Here is a 22,277-nt window from a genome sequence, read left to right on the forward strand (position 1 = left end):
ATCAATATTGATTTGTTAATTGTAACAAATGTACAATACTAATTTCAGATGTAGAGAGAGAGAGAGAGAGAGCATGTTAAACATGCTTTCAAAACCCTCTCTCCCCCAACCCCCTTCTTTCTGTCTGCCATTAGAGCCCAGAGCCACCATGTAGGAAGTCCAGCTATCCTGAAGCTCCCATGCTGGAAAGAATACACTGAGAAAGAGATGCCAAGGAGTCCCAGCTGTTTCAGCCCCTTCCTGTTTCAGTGTTTCTAGACTAGGCACCAATAATGTACGTAAAGAAGCCTTTCATATGGACCTCCGGCTCTCCATAGCCACTGCAACCTCATGAAAGACCCTGGGCAACAAATGCCTAGCTAGGCACTTCCTGAATTCTTGACCCACAGTAACCATAATAAATAATTGTAGGGTTTTTTGTTTGTTTGTTTGTTTTGTTTTTGTTTTGTTTTGTTTTGTTTTTATGGAGTCTCACTCTGTCACCCAGGCTGGAGTGCAGTAGTGCGATCTCAGCTCACTGTGACCTCTGCCTCCCGGGTTCAAGCAATTCTCTGCCTCAGACTCCTGAGTAGCAGGGATTACAGGCGCTCACCACCATGCCTGGCTAATTATTTTGTATTTTTAGTGGAGACGGGGCTTCACCAACTTGGCCACGCTAGTCTTGAACTCCTGACCTTGTGAACCGCCCGCCTCGGCCTCCCAAAGTGCTGGGATTACAGGCATGAGCCACTGTGCCTGGCCAATTGTGAGGTTTTAAGCACTAGTTTTTGGGGTGATGTGTAATGCAGCACTTGTAACTGGAAGGGATTCCCAGAGAAGGCAATAGTTGCAGGGAATGGAAGTTAGAGGGAGCAGTTTCCAAGAGCAAGGTGAGGCTGTGCCCTCTCAACCTCTGGAACATCCCCACACCTTGAGGATGCTTGTACACTCTAGTAAAGAGGGATGTCATACGAAGAAACATATTGAATCCCAGTGGAGATAATCAAGAGAAGCAGATGCAGCTTTTCTGCTATTTAGAGAGAAGGTAAGCTTCAAACTGATCAGGTCAAAGAGAGTTGGCAACAGCCCCAGCAGGAGCAAGAAGAGTATTTAGTTAGGAGAATGGGAGTGGCTTCTGGAAGAGAAGTTAAAACCAGCACAGTAATTGCAGATCTGTGGTCAACAGCTTTAGTTGTCTATTAAAACCTTCGTCCCTCCCCAAGGAAAGCCTGGCGTCACATTCCAGCTTCACCACTTGCTAACTGCAGAAATGTAAGCAAGTTACCTATCTTCTCTGTGCCTCAGTTTCCTCATAGGAAAAAGGCAAGATAATAATAGTGCCTAATTCATAAGTTATGATTATGGAGATTAGATGAGTATTTGCATGTGACATGCTTTGAAAGTGACTGATAGATAGCAAGGACTTGATACATTTAAGCTCTTATTATTATTGTTACCAGGTCTTTGGGGGTTAAAATTAGGAGATAAATCCAGGAAAAAGACTAAATTTCCTGCCAACCAAATGAGTATTAATATTTGGAGCACTGCTGTATATGTGACCCTTTTGTAATACATAGCCATGAAGCCTTGGACCTACGTACTGGGTAAAGTAGTAAGAGGAATGCATATTTCAAAACTAGTAAGACATTTTTTTGTTACTTGTCAAATGGACAGATTTGTTAAAATATAATCCTCAATTCTGGTGAAAGGGCAATAAAGTGGATGCTCATACATGGCTAGCTGATATCTAAAGCATAATATTCTTTCTAGAAACAACCTAGTAACACACATAAAATAGCATAATAATGTTTCTACACTCTGTATTGTAAATATACATTAATATATCTATCCTAAGTAAACAAGTAGGAATCCCAGAAAATGTTTATATACTAATGTGTTATTTGTAATTTTAAAAAGTTTAAACAGACAAAAATACAAAACTACATTTCTGACAATGGCAGAACGATACAATAGAATACTACATAGGCATTGGAATGACGGTTTCCAAGAATTCCTCAGAAGCCGAAATATTCTTTACATAAAGCCCTGAGTACTGCTGAAACCAAGAAAACCGCCAAGAATGCACAAAATTAGGTTTATTTAGCATGATGCAGCAAGGGAAAATATACTGAAGAAAAAATTTAGGAGCATCTTCACAATGGGGAATTGCTATAGGCTGTTTGTAAAAGCCAGTTTCAGATTGTTTACAGCCAAATACATGGGAAATTTGGTTGTTCAAAATAATAATTATTTTGTGATACTTTCTTAGATTTTCTTATTTGGTTATAATTTTTATCCAGGAAGTGAGAAGGTTAATATGGGTCTAGATTTGTTGCTGGTAAAGAAACAGTGATTTCAAATTGGAAGTGTTGTATTTTTTGTCACAGTGTGCCCTTGTCTTTGTCTTGTTATGAACATCTGTATCTTGAGCAAATCATTGAAATTCTATTTGAAAAATTATATTGGATTCTTCACCAATGTTTTCATTTTCCCTAGTTATTAGCAGGACCAATTTTTACTTTCTCGCTGCAATGCAAATCTCAGTTATAGAAATAATAGAAAAAGGAAATCCATACAGACATAGCAAAAATACCGTAAAGAAATAAATCAACTGTTTAGGGGGAAAAAAAAAACTCTCTTAAACTGTGTTTTTCCTCCACTCTCACACTACCGTAACAATCATCAACACCAGAAGACTTCTGTGACCAAATATGTGGGAGTTTTTCTGACACACTAAACAGTGGATACCAACTGGGTGTCCTCCGATTCAATTCTGACACTATCTACCTGGAGATAGTATAAGATTCCACAGATTCTGGGCTCAGTCCCCAAGAGTTTCCCCCAACCAGCACAGACACACACCAGTCACAAGTCTGGGTCTCCGGAACGTCTAACCAATTGCCTTCAAATTGAGGTTTTATGATCCCCTTTTGGGGTTTGATTAATTAGCTGGAGCGGCTCACAGAACTCAAAGAAACATTTATGTTTACTGGTTTATGATCAAGGATATTACAAAGGATACAGATGAAAAGATGCCTAGGGTGAAGTATGAGGGAGGGAGAAGTTGAGCTTCCATGCCCTCCCCAAGCACACCACCCTCCAGGAAAGTATATGCCTTCACCTATGTGAAAGCTCTTGGAACCCAGTCCTCTTGGAGTTTTCTGGAAGCTTCATGACATCAGCATTCCTTCTCCAAGGGTATAGGGTGAGACCATCTCTGGAGAGGGTTTTATGACCCACGGTCAGAAAAGTGGGGGAAGATTAGAGACCTGAATTGGGGCAGGTGAAGGAAGGGCAGGAGAAAGTCATAGACATTCTGTTTTCTTAGGCCTGCTACTTCCTCAAACGGCTGTAACAAGGGGTGTGAGAGTTATGAGCCGGGAACCATGGACAAAAACCAATATATGTGTATATACCATAACACCATATCAACATATTAAAAGTGAAGAATTTATGGATTGTTGAGTTACAGAAAGTTGTGTTTTCTTTTTCTATTATTTTCTACAGTGAGCATAAATTATTTTACAATCAGACAAGTAGTAAAATAATAAATTTTAAGAAATATATGTGCTGTTCTTCTAGAATATCTATTTGGCAAATTATTCAGAAGAGAGCAGTGAACCTCACTACAATCCTGGGTGATGATACCTGGTAACAAAGCAGGAATGAGGCTCTTCTGTAGAAGGAGAAAGCAGCCCCTGTCACTAGACAATGGAATTAAGTCTACCTGCTCCATGGAAGAAGGAAATCCCAGGAGGATATGGCTAATTAACCTGGACCCTTTGTGGCTTACACAGAAATGTAAATGATTTCCCTCTGGTACCAATCCTGATAGCAATTTATATTCTCTGATGCTGGGTTTGGCACAAAGAAGGAAAAACTGGTTATGTAAAGGTCAAATGCATGATTCTTCAGGTAATCTAGTCCAATCTGTCTACCTCAGGACCTGCCATCCCATCTAAAGGTACAGCTTCCTCCAGTCATTAATGAGTTAGTTCCACCATGACATACATAGAGATTTTTCATGTTGATAACATATTCAAATGATTACAACAGATTCACTAAAACAATTTTTCTGGTAAAATCTGACACTAAAATTGTTTATAAGCCCCCAAATTATAAAACTATTAAGAACATATAGCTAGCCTCCACACCATGGCCACAGTAAATATATGAATGACTTCAACTCTTTCCCATTCAAGGCAACATATGGAAATATGATTGAATGAGAGTGAAATGATGGCGAAAATCTTGACTTCTTATTTGTTCTTTTTTCCTGTATAATCAGTAAATATAGGTGTCTTGTTTTTTTAAAATAAGCTACTATAGTCTGAAGGTTTGTCTTTCCCAAATTCATATGTTGAAAACATAAAAGACAATGTGATGATATGAAAAGATGAGGCCTTTTGGCAGAGCCCTCATGAATGGGATCAGTGCCCTTATGAAAGAGGCCCCAGGGGAACTGCCTTGATCTTTCCATAATATGAGAATACACCAAGAAGTTGCCATTTATGAACCAGGAAATGGGGCCTCACCAGACACACCATCTGCCAGTGCCTTGATCTTGGACTTCCCAGCCTCCAGACAGATAAATAAATGTCCTGTTGTTGATAAGCAACAAGCTTATAGTCTTGTATTATAGCAGCCTCAACAAAGACATATACCATATACAAATTTCAGTATTTTAACACAATACTTGAAGCAACATACCTCACAAATGACCTTTCTTCTTTACTATGATTGAAAATCATCAAATTTATTTACAAAAGCAGAGGTGTTGCCTGTTAAGGGTGACTTTTAATATTTCCAGAGAGAATGGCATTGGATTCTAGTCTTAAACAATAAACAGGAGATAGCCAGATAGGAACTTAATAGAAATACGGCATTCCAGGAGGAAAAAACAGAATCTGCAGGGTAGAAATGTATGAAAAAAAAAAACCCATGGATGATTAGAGATGCAAGAAGTCTAACATAGCTAAAGCAAGGAAAGGAAAAGCATAATGGGAAATTCAGAATTTATTCATTCTATAAGCATCAGCTAAATTTTACAATGAGAAGTATTGATCAAAATGGAATTCCATGAAGCCATGTGCGGTAACATTCACCTGTAGTCGCAGCTTCTTGGAGGCTGAAGTGGGAAGATCACTTGAGCCCGGGAGTTTTAATCCAGCCAAGGCACTATAGCAAGACTCTTATCTCTAAAAAAATTAATAATGAAAAACACCCAGGCATCTTGGCTCATGTCTGTAATCCCAGCACTTTGGGAGGGTGGAGGTGGGTGGATAGCTTGAGCCCAGGTATTCAAGACCAGCCTGGGCAATATGGCAAAACCCCATCTCTACTAAAAATTAAAAGATTAGCCAGGAGTGGGAGTGCACACCTGTGGTCCCAGCTACTCAGGAGGCTGAGGTGGGAGGATAGCTTGAACCTGAACCTGGGAGATTGAGGCTGCAGTGAGCCATGATTTTGCCATTGCACACTGCACTCCAGCCTGGGTAAGAGAGCAAGACCCTATCTCAAACAAAAAATAAAACAAACAAACAAACACAAAAACACAGATTTTTTAAAATTTCACTTCCTCCTGGTTACATGTGCAGATCATTGTTACATAGGTATACATGTGCTATGGTGGTTTGCTGCACCTATCAACCCGCCATCTAGGTTTTAAGCCCTGCATGCATTAGGTATTTGTCCTAATGCTCTCTCTCCCCTTACTCCCCACCCCCTGACAGGCCCCAGTGTGTGATGTTCTCCTCCTTGTATCCATGTGTTCTTATTGTTCAACTCCCACTTATGAGTGAGAACATGTGGTGCTTGGTTTTCTGTTCTTGTATTCATTTGCTGAGAATGATGGCTTCGAGCTTCATCCATGTCCCTGCAAAGGACATGAACTCATTCTTTTTTATGGCTGCATAGTATTCCATGGTGTATATGTACCACGTTTTCCTTATCCAGTCTATCATTGATGGGCACGTGGGTTGGTTCCAAGTCTTTGCTATTGTAAATAGTGCTGCAACAAACATAAGTGTGCATGTGGCTTTATAGCAGAGTGATTTATAAACCTTAATTAATAATTAATAATTAAATAATTAATATAATTAATATATAATTAATACATTAATATTAATTTAATTAATTAATTAATTAAATTACATTTAATTTATCTTGAGTTAATTTCTGTATAAGGTGTAAGGAAGGGGTCCAGTTTCTGTTTTCTGCATATGGCTAGCCAGTTTCCCCAGCACTATTTATTAAATCAGGAGTCTTTTCCCCATTGCTTGTTTTTGTCAGGTTTGTCGAAGATCAGATGGTTGTAGATGTGTAGTGATATTTCTGAGGCCTCTGTTCTGTTCCATTCGTCTATATATCTGTTTTTATATCAGTACCATGCTGTTTTGGTTACTGTAGCCTTGTGGTATAGTTTGAAGTCAGGTAGCATGATGCTTCCAGCTTTGTTCTTTTTGCTTAGGATTGTCTTGGCTATATGGGCTCTTTTTTGATTCCATATGAAATTTAAAGTTGTTTTTTCTAATTTTGTGAAGAAAGTCACTGGTAGCTTGACGGGAATAGTGTTGAATCTATAAATTACTTTGGGAATAGTATTGAATCTATAAATTACTTTGGGTAGTATGGCCATTTTCATGATGTTGATTCTTCCTATCCAAGAGCATGGAATATTTTTCCATTTGTTTGTGTCCTCTCTTATTTCCCTGAGCAGTGGTTTGTAGTTCTCCTTGAAGAGGTCCTTCGTGTCCCTTGTAAGATGTATTTCTAGGTATTTTATACTCTTTGAAGCAATTGTGAATAGGAATGCACTCATGATTTGGTTCTCTGCTTGTCTATTGTTGATGTATAGGAATGCTTGTGATTTTTGCACGTGGATTTTGTATCCTGCTACTTTGCTGAAGTTGCTTATCAGTTTTGGACTGAGACGATGGGGTTTTCTAAATATACAATCAGGTCATCTGCAAACGAGAAAATTTGACTTCCTCTCTTCCTATTTGAATAAACTTTATTTCTTTCTCTTGTCTGAGTGCCCTGGCCAGAACTTCCAATACTATAATGAATAGAAGTGTTGAGAGAGGGCATCCTCATCTTGTGCAGATGAAAAACAATATTTTTTTAAAAAAGGAATTTTATGATACTAAAAGAGGAAAATCAAGAATTTTAATGAGAAATAAAATGTATTCAAATATGGTAAAGATAAAAATATGTGGTTACGTTTTTTGAAAGTTTGTACTTAATAGAAATATATATTATATGTGCTGTATGATATGAATTATGTTATATGAAGATACAAGTAAACTAAGGAAGAGGAAGCTAAAAATTCTGCATTCTTAAAATCACAACAATGGAGTGAGGCAAGGAACAGCTGAAGTCTGACAGTTGGGCAGAAATGTAACTAAATAGAGCTTGGGGAATGGTGCTTCTTGTGTTCCAATTATGGAAATTCTTTATCTTGCTAATGACATTGTATTAGTCTGTTCTTATGCTGCTATAAGGACATACCTGATACTGGCTACTTTATGAAGGAAAGAGGTTTAAATGACTCACCATTCTGCAGGGATGAGGAGGCCCCAGGAAACTTACAATTATGGTGGAAGGGAAAGCAAACACATCCTTTTTCACATGGCAGCAGGAAGGAGAGGTATGACCAAAAGGGGGAAAACCCCCTTATAAAAATCATTAGATCTCATGAGAACTCACTCACTATCACAATAACAGCAGCATGGGGGTAACTGTCCCATTATTCAATTACCTCCCTCTGGGTCCCTCCCACGACCCTTTGGGATTATGGGGACTACAATTCAAGATGAGATTTGGGTGGGGACACAGCCAAACCATATCAGACATTATGATGAGAAAAACTGTATGCAAATTAAGTATGCAACTAAAACCTTTCTTAATTCCTCTTCATTCCCAGATATCAAGCTGGCAAGATTATACAGCACTCACTGCTGATGTTTCTCCCATTGTGTCATCCCAACCATAATAATAATAACAAAAATAAAAAATTAAAATACTAGCTATCATCCATTCAAAAATTACTATCTTCCAGACCCTGTTTTAAATATTTTATATTGATTAACTCATTCATTGTCACAATAACTCAATAAGATAGTTTTATTATCCTCATTTTAGCAATGAAGATACTGAGACTCAAAGGAGTTAGGTAATTTTTCAAAGATCACACAGCTAATGAGTGGCAGAGCTGGAATTGAAACTCACAAATTCTGGCTCCAGAACAAAAATTAGTAAACTGGACCCATAAATAAACTATTTGTATATCCACACTTATTACCTATCTTGCCAGTGGCCTTCAAGTTACGAAAAGAAGCCATAGAGGGCTCTACAGGAGAGTCACAAGATCTGTGTGCCAAGGTAATAGACATGTCTCAGGATTCTTATTGTCCCACAGCATTTTCTCTTGTTCATGGGCCTAGTTTCAAGGGTAGCCCTAGGAAGCCACGCTTTTTTAATGGAGCCTCACTACACCTGATCACAGCTGATACGAACAAGTATGCATACCTAAATTAAAGACTACCAGTACACAGATGACCAGAAACTAAACTCTCTTACTAGAATTTGAACAAAGAAACACAGAGACTCTGGCAACTGAGGTTAAAGAAATGTAATGCTCTGAGACTACTGGCCATGTGGAAACAGAGAAAACAAACAAGAATGTCAGTTAGTATTCTATTATTATTAGCAGCAAAAGCTGGCAATATGTCAAAAAGAAAATGTAAGGAGACTGGGTAGTTCACATAATCAAAGAAAAGAATGGAGACAACTCTGGAATCTCAATACAAGGACTCAGGCATTCCCTGTAAATAGGAATCAAGTCTCTCGATGTTACTACCAGAGGAGTTTATCAGCTTTAATCACATTTAGTGTGTCACTTCACTCAAAATTAAAATTCCTGGGAAAATAGAATATTAAAGCCTAGTTTAAGTCACATGAAATGCCTTGTCTGGAGCTAGGGACTATTGGCTATTTTCAGGAAGAAAAAGAAGTTACCTAAAAGAAAAAGTGGGGCTCTGTTTTTAAGCAGAGGCTTTGGAAAAAAAATAACATTTTTCTCTATCCTTTGTCAAAAGAGGAGAAAGAGAGAAAGCAAAGATGAGAAGATCATGTTCATGTGTCACTTGGGAATCAGTGAGAGATGAAAAGTAATTCAGCTTGAGAGACAGAGAGAAGGAAGTTTCATTTCTAACTCCATTCCTGTGATGTCTGGTGTGTTTCATTTCCAATGTCTGTGAACTATCTTGTATCTTTGCAATAAATTCCACCCCAATTGAGCAAACCTAAGTAAGTTTCTGGTTCTTGCACACAAAGAGCCTTAACTAAGAGCCAGCCCCATGCTAACATGAGGAATGCAGTGATCACAGAAAAAATATCTTAGTCATTGAGAGACTCACCCCTAATGGGGAAAATCATTATAAATCCCAAAATCAAAGTAAATACAAAAAGCTAATGGAACACAATAGATCATCCTTAAAACAGAAACTGGTGGGTTCAAGACAGGCTTTTAAAAATACATGGTAGACAAATTTACATTTGGAGAAAGGTTTGAAATGAGGAACTAAAGAAGGAAATAATAGAGTACCAAGAAAAGAACTTGTAAATAGACCAAAGACTTAAGAAACCCTGGCATATGGGAGACACAAAAAGTTCGTTATGGCTGGGAAAAAGGGTGAAACAGAAGAGAAGAAGGTTACTATAAGATTAGGCCTGCTAAGCCATTTGAATTTTATGATTAAGAAAATGTGGGAGCTATTGAAAGATTTTAATTTGATAATTGTATTAGACACAACGATTTTTACATCATTTCTTTCAAATGTGTCAACTTCATTTGATGGTACCTGACCCCTAGACAGCTCCATCTCCATCAGGAGCAACCAGTCACTTGTCCTGGGAGGGTTACATGACCAGTTTACAGTACTTTCTGCCACCTGTGGACTTAGATGAAAAGCATACATTGCTGATGAGATAGGAGGCATAGGAGAGATGACGAAATTGGGATGAATAGATAAACCAGGGTCACTTGTATAGATGGAGATGCTGTTCTTTGAGATAAGATGAATTGAAAGGGTGGAATACAACATTCAAAGTACTAAAAGAGATTTACACACAAGATTCTGTGGCAGAAGAGAGGAGGAATGTGACTTTGACCTTATGAAAAGAGTAGGTAGTAATTAGAAAAATATCTAAAGAACTAAACTTTTAACTGATTCTTATAATTATGAGTTTTCTACCTTAAAAGTTGGTGGGCGGGAAAGCATTTTAGGCATTCTACAATGCCTAAATTAGGAATTCATTTAAGCAATGCCTAAATTAAAATGTAAATTAGGTTAATAGACAATACTTAGTTTTTAAAAATATTTTATTTCATTTTATAATTTTTTTAGAAATGGGATCTCACTCCATTGCCTAGGCTGGAGTGCTATGGCAAAATTACAGCTCACTGGAGCCTTGAACTGAGCTCAAGTGATCCTGCCACCCCAGCCTCCAAGTAGCTGAGATTACAGGCATGTGCTCCCATACCCAGTTAATTATTTTATTCTTTGTAGAGATGGGGTCTGACTATGTTGTCCAGGTTTATCCTGAACTTCTGGCCCTGAGCAATTATCCCACGTTGGCCTCCCAAAGTGCTAGGATTGCAGAAATGAGCCAAGTTGCCTGGCTAATATTAGTTATAAATAATACATGCAAATAGCTAAAAATTCAGAAATTATAAAAGGGTATACACCAGAATCAACAACACAATACTAAAGGAGTACAAAGTTGGAGAACTGACACTACAGAACTTCCAGACTTGCTATGAAGCTATAGAAATTAAGACAATGTGGTTTTGGTGAAAAAAATATAGATCAATGGAACAGAATAGAGAACCCAGAATTAGACCCACGTAAATATAGTGAACTGCTTTTTGACAAAGGAGGGGAGGCAATACAATGAATTGTACAATACAATAAAATCTTTAACGTATAGAATTGAAACAACTGGACATCCACATGCAAAAAAACATGAATCTAGACACAGACTTTACATCTATCACAAAAATTAACTCAAAATAAATCACAGACCTAAATGTAAAATGCACAACAATAAAACTCCTAGAAGATAGCATAGAAGAAAATCTAGATGTCCATTGGTATGACAATGACTTTTTATATGCAATACCAAAGGCATAAAAGATGAAAGAAAGAATTGCTAAGCTGGATTTCATTAAAATTAAAAATTTCTGCTTTACAAAAGACACAGTTGCTCATGAACAGGAAGAATCAATATTATTGAAATAGCCATACTCCCCAAAGGAATTTACAGATTCAATGCTATTTCTCTCAAACTGCCAGTGAAATTCTTCACAGAACTAGAAAAAAAGAGATATTTTAAAATTCACCAAATAAGAGACCAAAAAGCCAAGGCAATCTTAAGCAAAAAGAACAAAGCAGAAGTCATCCTGCTATACAACTTCAAATTACAAGGCTATAGTAACCAAAAGAGCATGGTACTGGTACAAAAACAGACACATAAACCAAAGGAACAGAATAAAGATCACAGATATAAGGCCTTACACCTGCAGCAATATGATTTTCATTCAACAAAGGTAACAAAAACAAGCAATGGGGAAAGGACTCACTATTCAATAAATAGTGTTGGGATAACTGGCTAGCCATAAGCAGAAGATTGAAACTGGACCCTTTCTGCACATCATATACAAAAATCAACTCAAGATGGATTACAGACTTAAATGTAAAACACAAAACTATAAAAATCCTAGAAGACAACCTAGGAAGTACCTTTCTGGGAATAAAAACTTGCAAGGATTTCATGCCAAAGACACCAAAAGCAACTGCAACAAAAGTAAGAATTGACTAATGGGATCTAATTAAACTTCAGAGCTTCTGCACAGCAAAATAAACTATCGACAGAGTAAACAGCCTACAGAATCTGACAAAAATCTAACATCTAGCATCTATAAGGAACTTAAATTTACAAGAAAAAAAACAAATAACCACATTAAAAAGTGGGCAAATGACATGAACAGACACTTTTCAAAAGAAAACATACATGAGGCCAACAATTCTATGAAAATAAGTTCAGTTCAGCATCACTGATCATTAGAGAAATACAATTCATAAACACAATGAGATACTATCACATACCAGTCAGAATAGCTATTATTAAAAAGTCAAAAAATAACAGAGACTGGTGAGGTTGTGGATAAGAGGGACCACTTATACACTGTTGGTGGGAGTGTAAATTATTTCAACCATCATGAAAATCAGTGTGGTGATTCCTCAGAAAGCTAAAAACAGAACTGTTATTAGACTCAGCAATCCCATTACTGGTTATACACCAAAAAGAATATGACTGTTCTATCATAAAGACGTGTACACATACGTTCACTGCAGCACTATTCACAATAGCAAAGACATGGAATCAACCTAAATGCTCACCAACGGTAGACTGGATAAAAAAAATACATATATGGTACCTATACACCATGGAATACTATGTAGCCATAAAAAAGAGTGAGATCATGTCCTCTGCAGGAACATAGATGGAGCTGGAAGCCATCATCCTTAGAAAACTAACACAGGAACAGAAAACCAAATATCACATGTTCTCACATGTAAGTAGGTGCTAAATGATGAGAACACATGGACACAAAGAGGGGAACAACAGACCCTAGGGAGGGCCTACCAGAGGGTAGAAGGTTGGAGGAGAGCGAGGAGTAGAAAAAATAAACTATTAGGTACTAGGCTTAATACCTGAGTGATAAAATAATCTGTACATCAAGCCCCCATGGCACTAGTAAACCAATATATCAAAGCTGCACAAGTACTCAGGACCCTAAAGTAAAAGTTTTTTTAAAAAAATTTGCTTAAAAGGCATAATCTAGAGAAGTCAAAGAGAAGCTGAAAACCATAACAAAATATTTGCAAAATACATATTTGGTAAAGGATTGTTATCCAAATTATAAAAAGAACTCTTAAAATTCAACAACAAGAAAAAAACTCTCATTTAAAAATTTGCAAAAACCTTAACAAACACTCACCAAAGAAGATACACAGATGCCAATAAGCATATGATAGGATGTTACACATCATATGTCAGCAGGAAAATGTAAACTAAAACAACAATGAGGTACCACTACACAATATTAGAAAGGCAAAAGTCTAGAACATGAATAATACCAAATGCTGACAAGGATGTGCAGCAACAGGAGCTCCTATTTATTTGTGGTGGGAATGCAAATGGTACAACCACTTTGGAAGATAGTTTGGCAGTTTCTTACAAAACAGCATACTCTCTTACCATACAATCCAGCAATTATTCTCCTTGGTAGTTACCCAAAGGAGTTGAAAACTTAGGTCCACACAAAAACTTAAAAATTGGTATTTATAGCAGCTTTATTACTAATCACCAAGACTTGGAAGGAACCAATTTTTTCTTCGTTAGGTGAATGGTAAATAAATGATGGTATATCTAAGCAATGTAATATTATTCAGCACTAAAAAGAAATGATGTTTCAAACCATGAAAACACATAAAGGAAACTTAAATGCTCATTAAGTCAAAGAAGCCTGTCTGGAAAGACTACATGCTGTGCGATTTTAACCATATGATATTTAGGAAAAGGCAAAACAATGGAGGTGGTTAAAAGATAAGTTGTTCCCAGGGGCTGTGGGGAAGGAAAGGTGAAAAACTGGATAACAGAGGATTTTTAGAGCAGTGAAACTACTCTATATGATACTTTAAAAGTAGATATATTTCACCATAAACTTGTAAGAAAACAACCCATAGAATATACAACACCAAGCGTGAACCCTAATGTAAACTATGGACTTTGGGTGATAATGATGTATCAATGCAGACTCATCAGTTGTAATGTATGTACCACTGTGGTGGGGGATATTAATAATGGGGGAGGCTATCAATGTGTAGGGACAGGGAGTATAGGAGAAATCTCTGTAACTTCTGCACAATTTTGCCATAAACCTAAAATTGCTATATAAAAAACTGTCTATTTTTTAAAAAAGGACATAGAGTGAAAATTCTTCTCACTCCTGACCCCAAATCATCTAGATTTCTTCCTTAGAGACAAGTTATGCATTTTTATTTTATGCATAAATAAATATAAATATACATTTTTTCATCATTTTTACACAAATTATACTTTACAAAAAATTAGGATCTCCTACTTTTAAAAACCTAATGATGTTTCAGTACTCAAAGATCTTCTTTATTTTTATAGTGATGTATTATTCCTTTGTGCTGATGGACCACAATTTATTTAAGCAGTCCTGTTTATGGTCATTTAGATTACATCAAATGTTTTGCAATTCCATGTATATTTATAGTTTATAATCCTGTGAATTCCAAAAAGAATTCAAGCAATAATACAAGGTGCTATAAAAATAGAAAGGTAGGCAGGCAGGTAGATAATAGATAGATAGATAGATAGATAGATAGATAGATAGACAGACAGATAGATACATAATTTTCCAAAATCCCAGCACCCAGAGACAACATATAACAACTGATTCATAAACAAACTTCCATACATCTGTTTTCAAAGACACAGTTGGGTATATATTAGAATAAGCATTTCTATTCTAATAGTGGGAGAAGCATAAAAATTAATGCAAAACAATTTAGGCCTGAATATATAATAAGAGAGGCTTCATAATGTAATCTAAAACCAGATAACAAGTAAGCTTTTCTTATTATTATAATCCAATTTGCAAGAAATAGAGTCAAAGCCATATTTACAGAGATAGATGAATTTTCCCCATAATGCACTTTAGTGAGATTGGGAAGAAATTTTACCTTGCAACTTTGCTTACTTGCTGTTCTGAGCTGAACCCAGTTTTTTGGTTCCCATCTCCTCCTAGTTCTTGGTTGATTCTGGATTTTTGTGGAACACATCCACAAATATCTAACTATAACAGAGTACATGGGAAGTAAATTTTCTGACTGCTGTGGGTCAGCAAATATCCATATTCTTTCTTTATAATTATACATAGTTTGATACAGAGCTGTCTGATTTCAGATTTTAAGGTAAAAATTATTTTCCTTAGAACTGCTAAGGCTTTGTTTCATTACCTTTCAGCTTCCTAGTTTGTTTTGGAAAATCTGTGCCTGTGTGAATCATGTAGTTTCACAGATAATATATTTTGATTTTATTTTGCATGTAAGTCTGTGATGGTTTGTAACAAGCAACTGCTACACTGGATTCCACAGACCTAGAGCCTTATTACCTTCATGTCTGGGAAAATTTCTTCTATTATTTCTTTGATACTTTTTTTCTCTTGTTTTTCTTTCTTGTCTTTTTTGAGAATTCCAATTTTTTAGATATTGAAGTTTAAAGAATAACCCTCCATAATTTTTATCTTTTTATCTTTTTGTTCTACTTACTAACAGATTTCTTTCACCGTAATCCTAGCTTTTCTGCTGACCCTTTTTTAAATTCAGGAATTGTTCTCTGTTTTTTTTTTTTTTTCTTGGTCACAATGTATTGGTCTTTTTAAGAAACTATTATTCAATACCTTTATGGATATCTTCTACTAGAACTTCATTATGTCTGGCTACCCTAATGTTGGTTTGCTTTGTTTTGCTTCGGTCTCCCTCTTTCATGGTGAAGAATTTCTTCAAGTGCTTGATAATCTTTGATTCACTATTCATAGCTGTAAGACATTAAACAGCTAACTGAGAGCTTTGAATTTCCGAATTATTGACCTTTTCACTTGGTTTTAGGGCAATCAGAATGCTAGCCAGCTTGTCAGGGGAGCACAAAATACAGAATATAGAGTTCCTTTCTTTGAGGCCATTCACTTTCTGCATAGAAGAAACCTCCGTTCTCCTGCCTGGAATGTTTGAAGACTGGAAGAAGGAGACATCTGGTTGTATTATTACTTATTTTGGGTGAGGGAATGGCTGTGAGTCAATTTCCCATACGTAAATGTTCAACAAGTCCTCCTATTTTTATCCACATTTTTTACCTTGTACTACAGTTTCTCCTAGATCTAAGCCTCTAAGAGACAAATTGACTTCCTGTCCATATTCTGCTTTACAGATTTCAAAGCTGTGTCTTTCTTTGACGTGCTACATGAATTATGCTTCCATCCCTTTTTCATTTAATCTTCCAGATTCATTGAAACCTCTTCATGCCTGAAGCACACTCTCTTGCTCTTCAGCATTTATCTATTACCTATTTTTGTGTAGTATCTATCTACTTTCGGGGGATTTGTATGTTTATTCCTTTTATGGCATTTCAGGAAGGTCTTCAGAGAAGAAAAGATGAACATATGCCCTCTCTCTCATCTTCCATCAGAAGCTTCTGGTTTTTCTTTCTAATCTTAGAGTTTAGAGATAATTATCACTAATATCTAGAACCCTCTTGGTCAACAATCACCTAGATGGTAAACACAGGTTCCCAAATACCACCTTTAAAAACTATGGTTTGCGATGATTGCATTCAGTGCTAAGAATATTCATTTTTTGACAGACACCCACATTTATTCTAATAAAGTGGTCCTTGAATACATTGAGAAATGCTGTCCTAGACAAACTGAAGTTTGACAAAATCTTGTTTAGAATAATTAGGTGAGCAGAGGTGGAAATTTCCAAATGACTAAGAGATTTTTAATTATTTCCAACGTTGATATTTAGAATTACCTTTATTATATAAATATTATTGTGGTTTGCAACATTTCTACTTTTATTTTCTCTTTCTGTCCTTATAAATATCATTTTCTAAAAAAACGTTTTGTGGGCATGTAAAAAAGTTGTGTTCTCGTCAGGATAATTTTAATGTGCTTATTAGATGAATATTAATTGTATTAGTTACATTATTTAAAATACCTGTATCATTACTTATAATCTGTATTCCAAATTTATCAAGAAATCAAAATCTATGTTAATATTTTCTGCTAGTTTCATTACATGTCTGATTCTTCTTAAAATACCAGAAATTAGCTTTATTTCTGTTGTATGATTTGAAACATGTAAGTTCATTGCATGTTTATACAAAAGTATAATTTTTTATCATATTCTTTGTCATTACTTTTAACGTAATTGGTCTTTTTATTTATATATTATGCTTTTAACTTCAATTCAACTTATAGTAATCCTACCAATTTTATTACTGATTATTGTTGGGTTTGTATATTTTATTTTTGTACTTATAAACTTTGAGTTATTTCATTTATGTGGTAATTGTTTTTCTTATTGACTCAATTTTACATATATATATTTTTAATTATGTTTACCTTAAGATATATATTACATATATTACATAATACTTTATATATATAATCCCATATGCTACATGGATTATGTTAGTGGTCTTCTATTTATTATTTTATTTTTATTGTAAATCATTTATTTTTTTCTGTCTTTGGCAAAAAGTCTTTACTTTTTCATTTTCCTCTTTAACAATTCAAAATACATGCAGTCTTTTGTGGTTCATTTTTTTTAAAAAAAAGGTAAATACTTTCAAAACTTATACTTAATTTTTTTCTTTAAACTAAGAAATTGGAATAGTGCCTATTAATTTCTCAATATAAAAGATATATGTTAGCTCACTTTTTAGATAAATGGTTATGTTTCATTTTGCTTTGTTTTGTTTAGTTATGATTCTGGATGATGCATATAAATCTAGATATTTGGGTTTCTGTTGTGGTATGTATCTATACTGATGTGGGGTATCGATATGTTTCCTAGGAATTCTTAAGTTCAACTGGCACTATGTATACTATTATTATCAGGGGAATAATAAAATGTATATATGCATCCATCAAACATTTATTTTAACTTATTAAGTGTTAAAATCCATTCTTTCTTTCATTGATCTTTTAAGGTAAGACCAAAATATTTTCTTTGGTCTCCTGATTGAAGTTCCTATTATTTAAGACAAAAATTATGCCTATAAAGTGTTGTCTACTATTTTGGGTTTGGATTAATTTAGAATTGAGTATCTTGATGAGATCTGCAAAGCAATGCGCACAGAATTGAGTATGTTTTCATTTTTTCTATCTTATAGAACGTTGAGTATCTTTTATTTCAATTTACTTTTTCAATCTTCTTAAAGTATTCAACAGTTTTCATAAAGGCAAATACTTGGCTTATGTTTATTAGTTGATGTAACACTTATCCTACATAATTACCTTGAAAAGTACAAAGTTTTGGGAACAAACAGAACTAACTGTTACCATACTCCTCAGCTGATAGAAGCAGAAATAAAAGACTATTAGCATGAAGGTTACTAGCTGCCAGCATCAGGCAGTATGTTTTACAAAGGAATGAGGATCTAGATAGAGTAGAGGCCAATAAATTGACTGACTTTTGCAAAACTAGCATATATCTAAAATCCAAAGAATATATTACCTTGATGACTTCATTCAAGTGTACTTCAACCATTGAATACATGGATGCATTTTGTTATTGTTCATTGTTTTTCTCAACAGCTTGAGTTGCTAAGTATGAGAGTAACAAAGCAGCACATCACGGAAATGCCATTAAAAGATGTTATTTGTGAAGATAACAGTTCAGTTGAAAAGGCCAACATATGATGAAATATTATTCACCTGTCCAAAAAATTGTGGTAAAAAATTTGCTCAAGCATTTTATCCCATATTCCTTACAGTGTTATCATGGAAGGAAGCATACAAGTCCTCACAAAGAGATATTATTGTAAAAGTTTTGAGGATATTTTGAGTAAAATTTCTATAACAGGTAAAAATGTCAGATTGAATGAAACATTTTGTTTTTTAAAAAAACGTATTATTTTAAATAAAAACACTTTTATTTGGCATAGACTTAATTATATACATCTCCAAATTCATTAAAAGAAAATTTGATATTTACTTTGACAAATAACAGTAGAATTTTCTCTCGATATCTGAAGTTCCCATATACCACATATCCTTAAGAAGAAAAAAAATAATATATTGGCAACCTATATCTTGGAATCTAAATAAAATAAGTAACTTACTGTCTTAAATAGTGGAATAATGTTTTTTGACGTTTACTACTGCTAATAGCAGAAAGCCAATATTACAATGATCTCTGCTAGGCTGCAGGGTTGTGGAGAAGTATAAGATGGCTCCTACCCTAAGTCCACTGAGAGTCTTATAAAAACAAAAAGGCACGCACTCATGAGAAGTTAATAAACAACCTAAAATAGTATAGGATAAATACCAACCATGCAGTCTAGAAAATGCGGTGTCAAAGAACTTACCATCTCTACATCCTAACTCATTGAAAATGGAAAATATAATTATGCTTATAAAACATCAATCCACATTCTGTTAAGGATTTAACAACTTAATTTCTTAGTGGTTGCAGGTGTTTTGCATTTTACCTATGTGACTGCTGAAATAATGTATGCCACCTCTGTGTTAGGCATAGATCAGTTTATGAAACAGCTATGTAAAAGCATGTGTACACTTCATTGTGCCTGGTAGTTTTACAATTTATGGCCCTTGTAAACTAAGCATCCAAATGGTATGTTGATATTCTTTATAATAATAAACCAAACACAGTTACAATTGATATTTTTCTTGGATTAATTTGTTCATTCCAGGATCTATATCTCACGTTGTCTGTTCCATGTCAGAACCCTTTGTTCTACAAGATTTTTTTCTTGCAGTATTGATCCTTATTGATCTTAACCTAGTACAATCGTGAATAATTAAATATTTTCTCAAAGAAACAAGTATTTCCCTCTTTTCAATATGACCTTCACCTGATGTTCAAATAGTTCCCGCATTAGTGAGGAATCTTTTTGGTGCAAACTTGACCTCTGTTGTCCTACTTTGAAAACACACTTGATTTCTAACAAGAGCTTTTAGAAATGTAACAGTGCTGATTTGTTAGATAATGAAATCCAAATTGTTCTAGAAAAAGGTGCAATTATACAGCACGTAATACACAAATAAATTGACTTAATGTTACATTATAATGAAAACTGTGCAAAATCCTCTACACAGCACAATAAAATAATAAAAAGTAATAGAACAGGTAATAGATGTAAAATAAATGCTAAAAAAGTAGTTCAAATCATTTTCATACCAGTCAAAAGATACTGAGGAGGGCGCATCCAATCACAATAAAACACCAGAATGAAACACTTCTAAATAGTAATATAAATTTTTGTGGACACTTCATGTCCCATGATGTGGAATTGACATATAGTTTGATTTTCTTTTTCCTAATGTAAGCCACAGTTTTACAGTCCTAGTGAAAACATTTTATTGCTGGGGATGTATTAGACATGGTTCATTTCCCTTCTCAGTATGGCTTTAATTTTCCACATCCATGGCTTGACACAGACCCAAACACCAGAAGATGGTTGTCTGCTATAAACTGTTTGGTTTTCTTTGATTGCTTTACAATTTAATCTATAGTTCATTCCATTAACCCTTTCCATTTTAATGCTGCCAACTCTCCCAGCTCCTTAATATAAAGATAAACTTCCCCAAACATTTATGTTTATTCTGGTTTCTCATGCCCAGAGAATTATGTGCTGTGAGGGGAAAAAAGAAAGGAAATGTTTCTTTCCTAGTTAACTTTTTCGAGGCCCTGGGTAATTGCAAAATAATTGGCATATTACAATGAAGGGGGGTTCCCTTTTGCTTCATAATACATTCATCATTATTCATTCATTGGGTTTGGTTATATTCATACTGATCTGCTGAGCCAAGAAAGTGCCACTGTCATTCTAACTTTCTCCTCAAATCCCTGATCTTTCGGAGGGTGTGGGGTGGACGGCAGGGAGGGGGAATCCTTTCCCGGCTGCAGTGTTGTCACATCCGATATCCTGTTCCTTCCGGCAGAGAAAGTGTATCTGGGAGGGTCACTGGATCAGCCTGTGCCTCGGGGCGGCTCGCCTCAAGTACAAAAGACTCAACTCAACTCACGTTAGTCTTCTAGGTGGCCTATCGGCGGTGACGGACTGCCAGCTTGGGCTGTGGGCGAGCAGTGATGACTGCCTTGAAATGCTAAGTGCTTAATTAAGGACCTTTCATATCAGTTATTGAGGCCTCCATCTCCCATAGCCCTGGGCATTGTACTTTACCAAGGGCTCCCTGGAGCCAGAGCCAACTTTATTGCAGTGACAAGTAGAGAAAGAGAGAGAGAAACAAGTGGTTTCAATCCTCTCACAGCATTCCCCAAATCTAAATACAATCCGACAGCTGACTAGTCATAGTTGGCCGACTCCTAAAAATATTCTTTTTTCATGTTCATGAAAATATGGCATACTTGTGTCACACTCTCAGTGATGGATCCTGGAGTCCTCCACTGAGAACAATCTCATTGTCGGCAGCCAGGTAGCAACCACTGGGCAAATGCCATTCTTCCCCCTTGTTCACAAGACTGCTGCACCGCATGGAGGTTATATTTTTAAAATATGCAGAGATGGTTTAATCTGATGCCTTTCCATCCTCCAAACCCTGTTTTCAATGGCACTGCTATTATTTTTAACATCTATTATGTTACAATAATGTAGGATGGTGAACAATTCTGCCTATAGATTTATAAACTATTTTGCTCTTCTACAGTGATACCTCTAAGTTAACTACTTATAAAGACTTCTGTGTAGCTCCATTGCCAAATACGTATGAAGTTGTCAATTAATGTGAGGTAATTAAAAAAAAAGCTACAGCTGCTGGTGGTATCTGCTATGTTGGTTAATAGCAAAATAACTGATTACTGACAGGTAAGACACAATTAATTTTTTTCCAGCTTTATTGAGGGATACGAGTGAGGAATATAGATAAATATTTAAGATGTACAATGTAAAGTTTTGATATACTTATACATTGGATGAGGATTAACAAAGTCAAGCTAATTAACATATCTATCACCTAACATAGTTATCATTTGTGTTTGTGTGTGTGTGTGTTAAGAACACTTAAGATCTACTCACTTAGCAAATATCAAGTCTACAATACATTATTATTAACTATAGTCACCATACTGAACAATAGATCTCCCAAACTCATTCATGTAACTAACCTTTTGTACGCTTTGGCCAACATCTCCATTTCCTCCACCTCCCAGGCCCTGGTAACCACCATTCTATTCTATTTCTATGAGTTCAATCTTTTTAGATTTCTTTTGTAAGTGAGATCATGCGGTATTTGTCTTTCAGTGTCTGGCTTGTTTCACTTAGCATAATGTCCTCCAGATTCATCCAAGTTGTTGCAAATAGCAGGATTTCCTTCTTTTTAAAGGCCAAATTATACTCATATACGTGTGGCACATTTTCTTTATTTATCCGTT

General features: G+C 35.5%; 1 annotated feature.

The window, feature by feature from the left end:
* Nucleotides 552-712: a silencer, noted in NCBI's record as "fragment chr6:50533627-50533787 (GRCh37/hg19 assembly coordinates)". NCBI's record gives its function as "represses an EF-1alpha promoter that drives an FKBP-Casp9 reporter gene in an ReSE screen in phorbol 12-myristate 13-acetate-treated (for megakaryocytic differentiation) K562 erythroleukemia cells {active_cell/tissue: K562(+PMA)}" and the evidence as "EXISTENCE:reporter gene assay evidence [ECO:0000049][PMID:32094911]".

This window comes from Homo sapiens, chromosome 6, assembly GCF_000001405.40.
Source record: "Homo sapiens chromosome 6, GRCh38.p14 Primary Assembly".
NCBI lineage: Eukaryota > Metazoa > Chordata > Mammalia > Primates > Hominidae > Homo > Homo sapiens.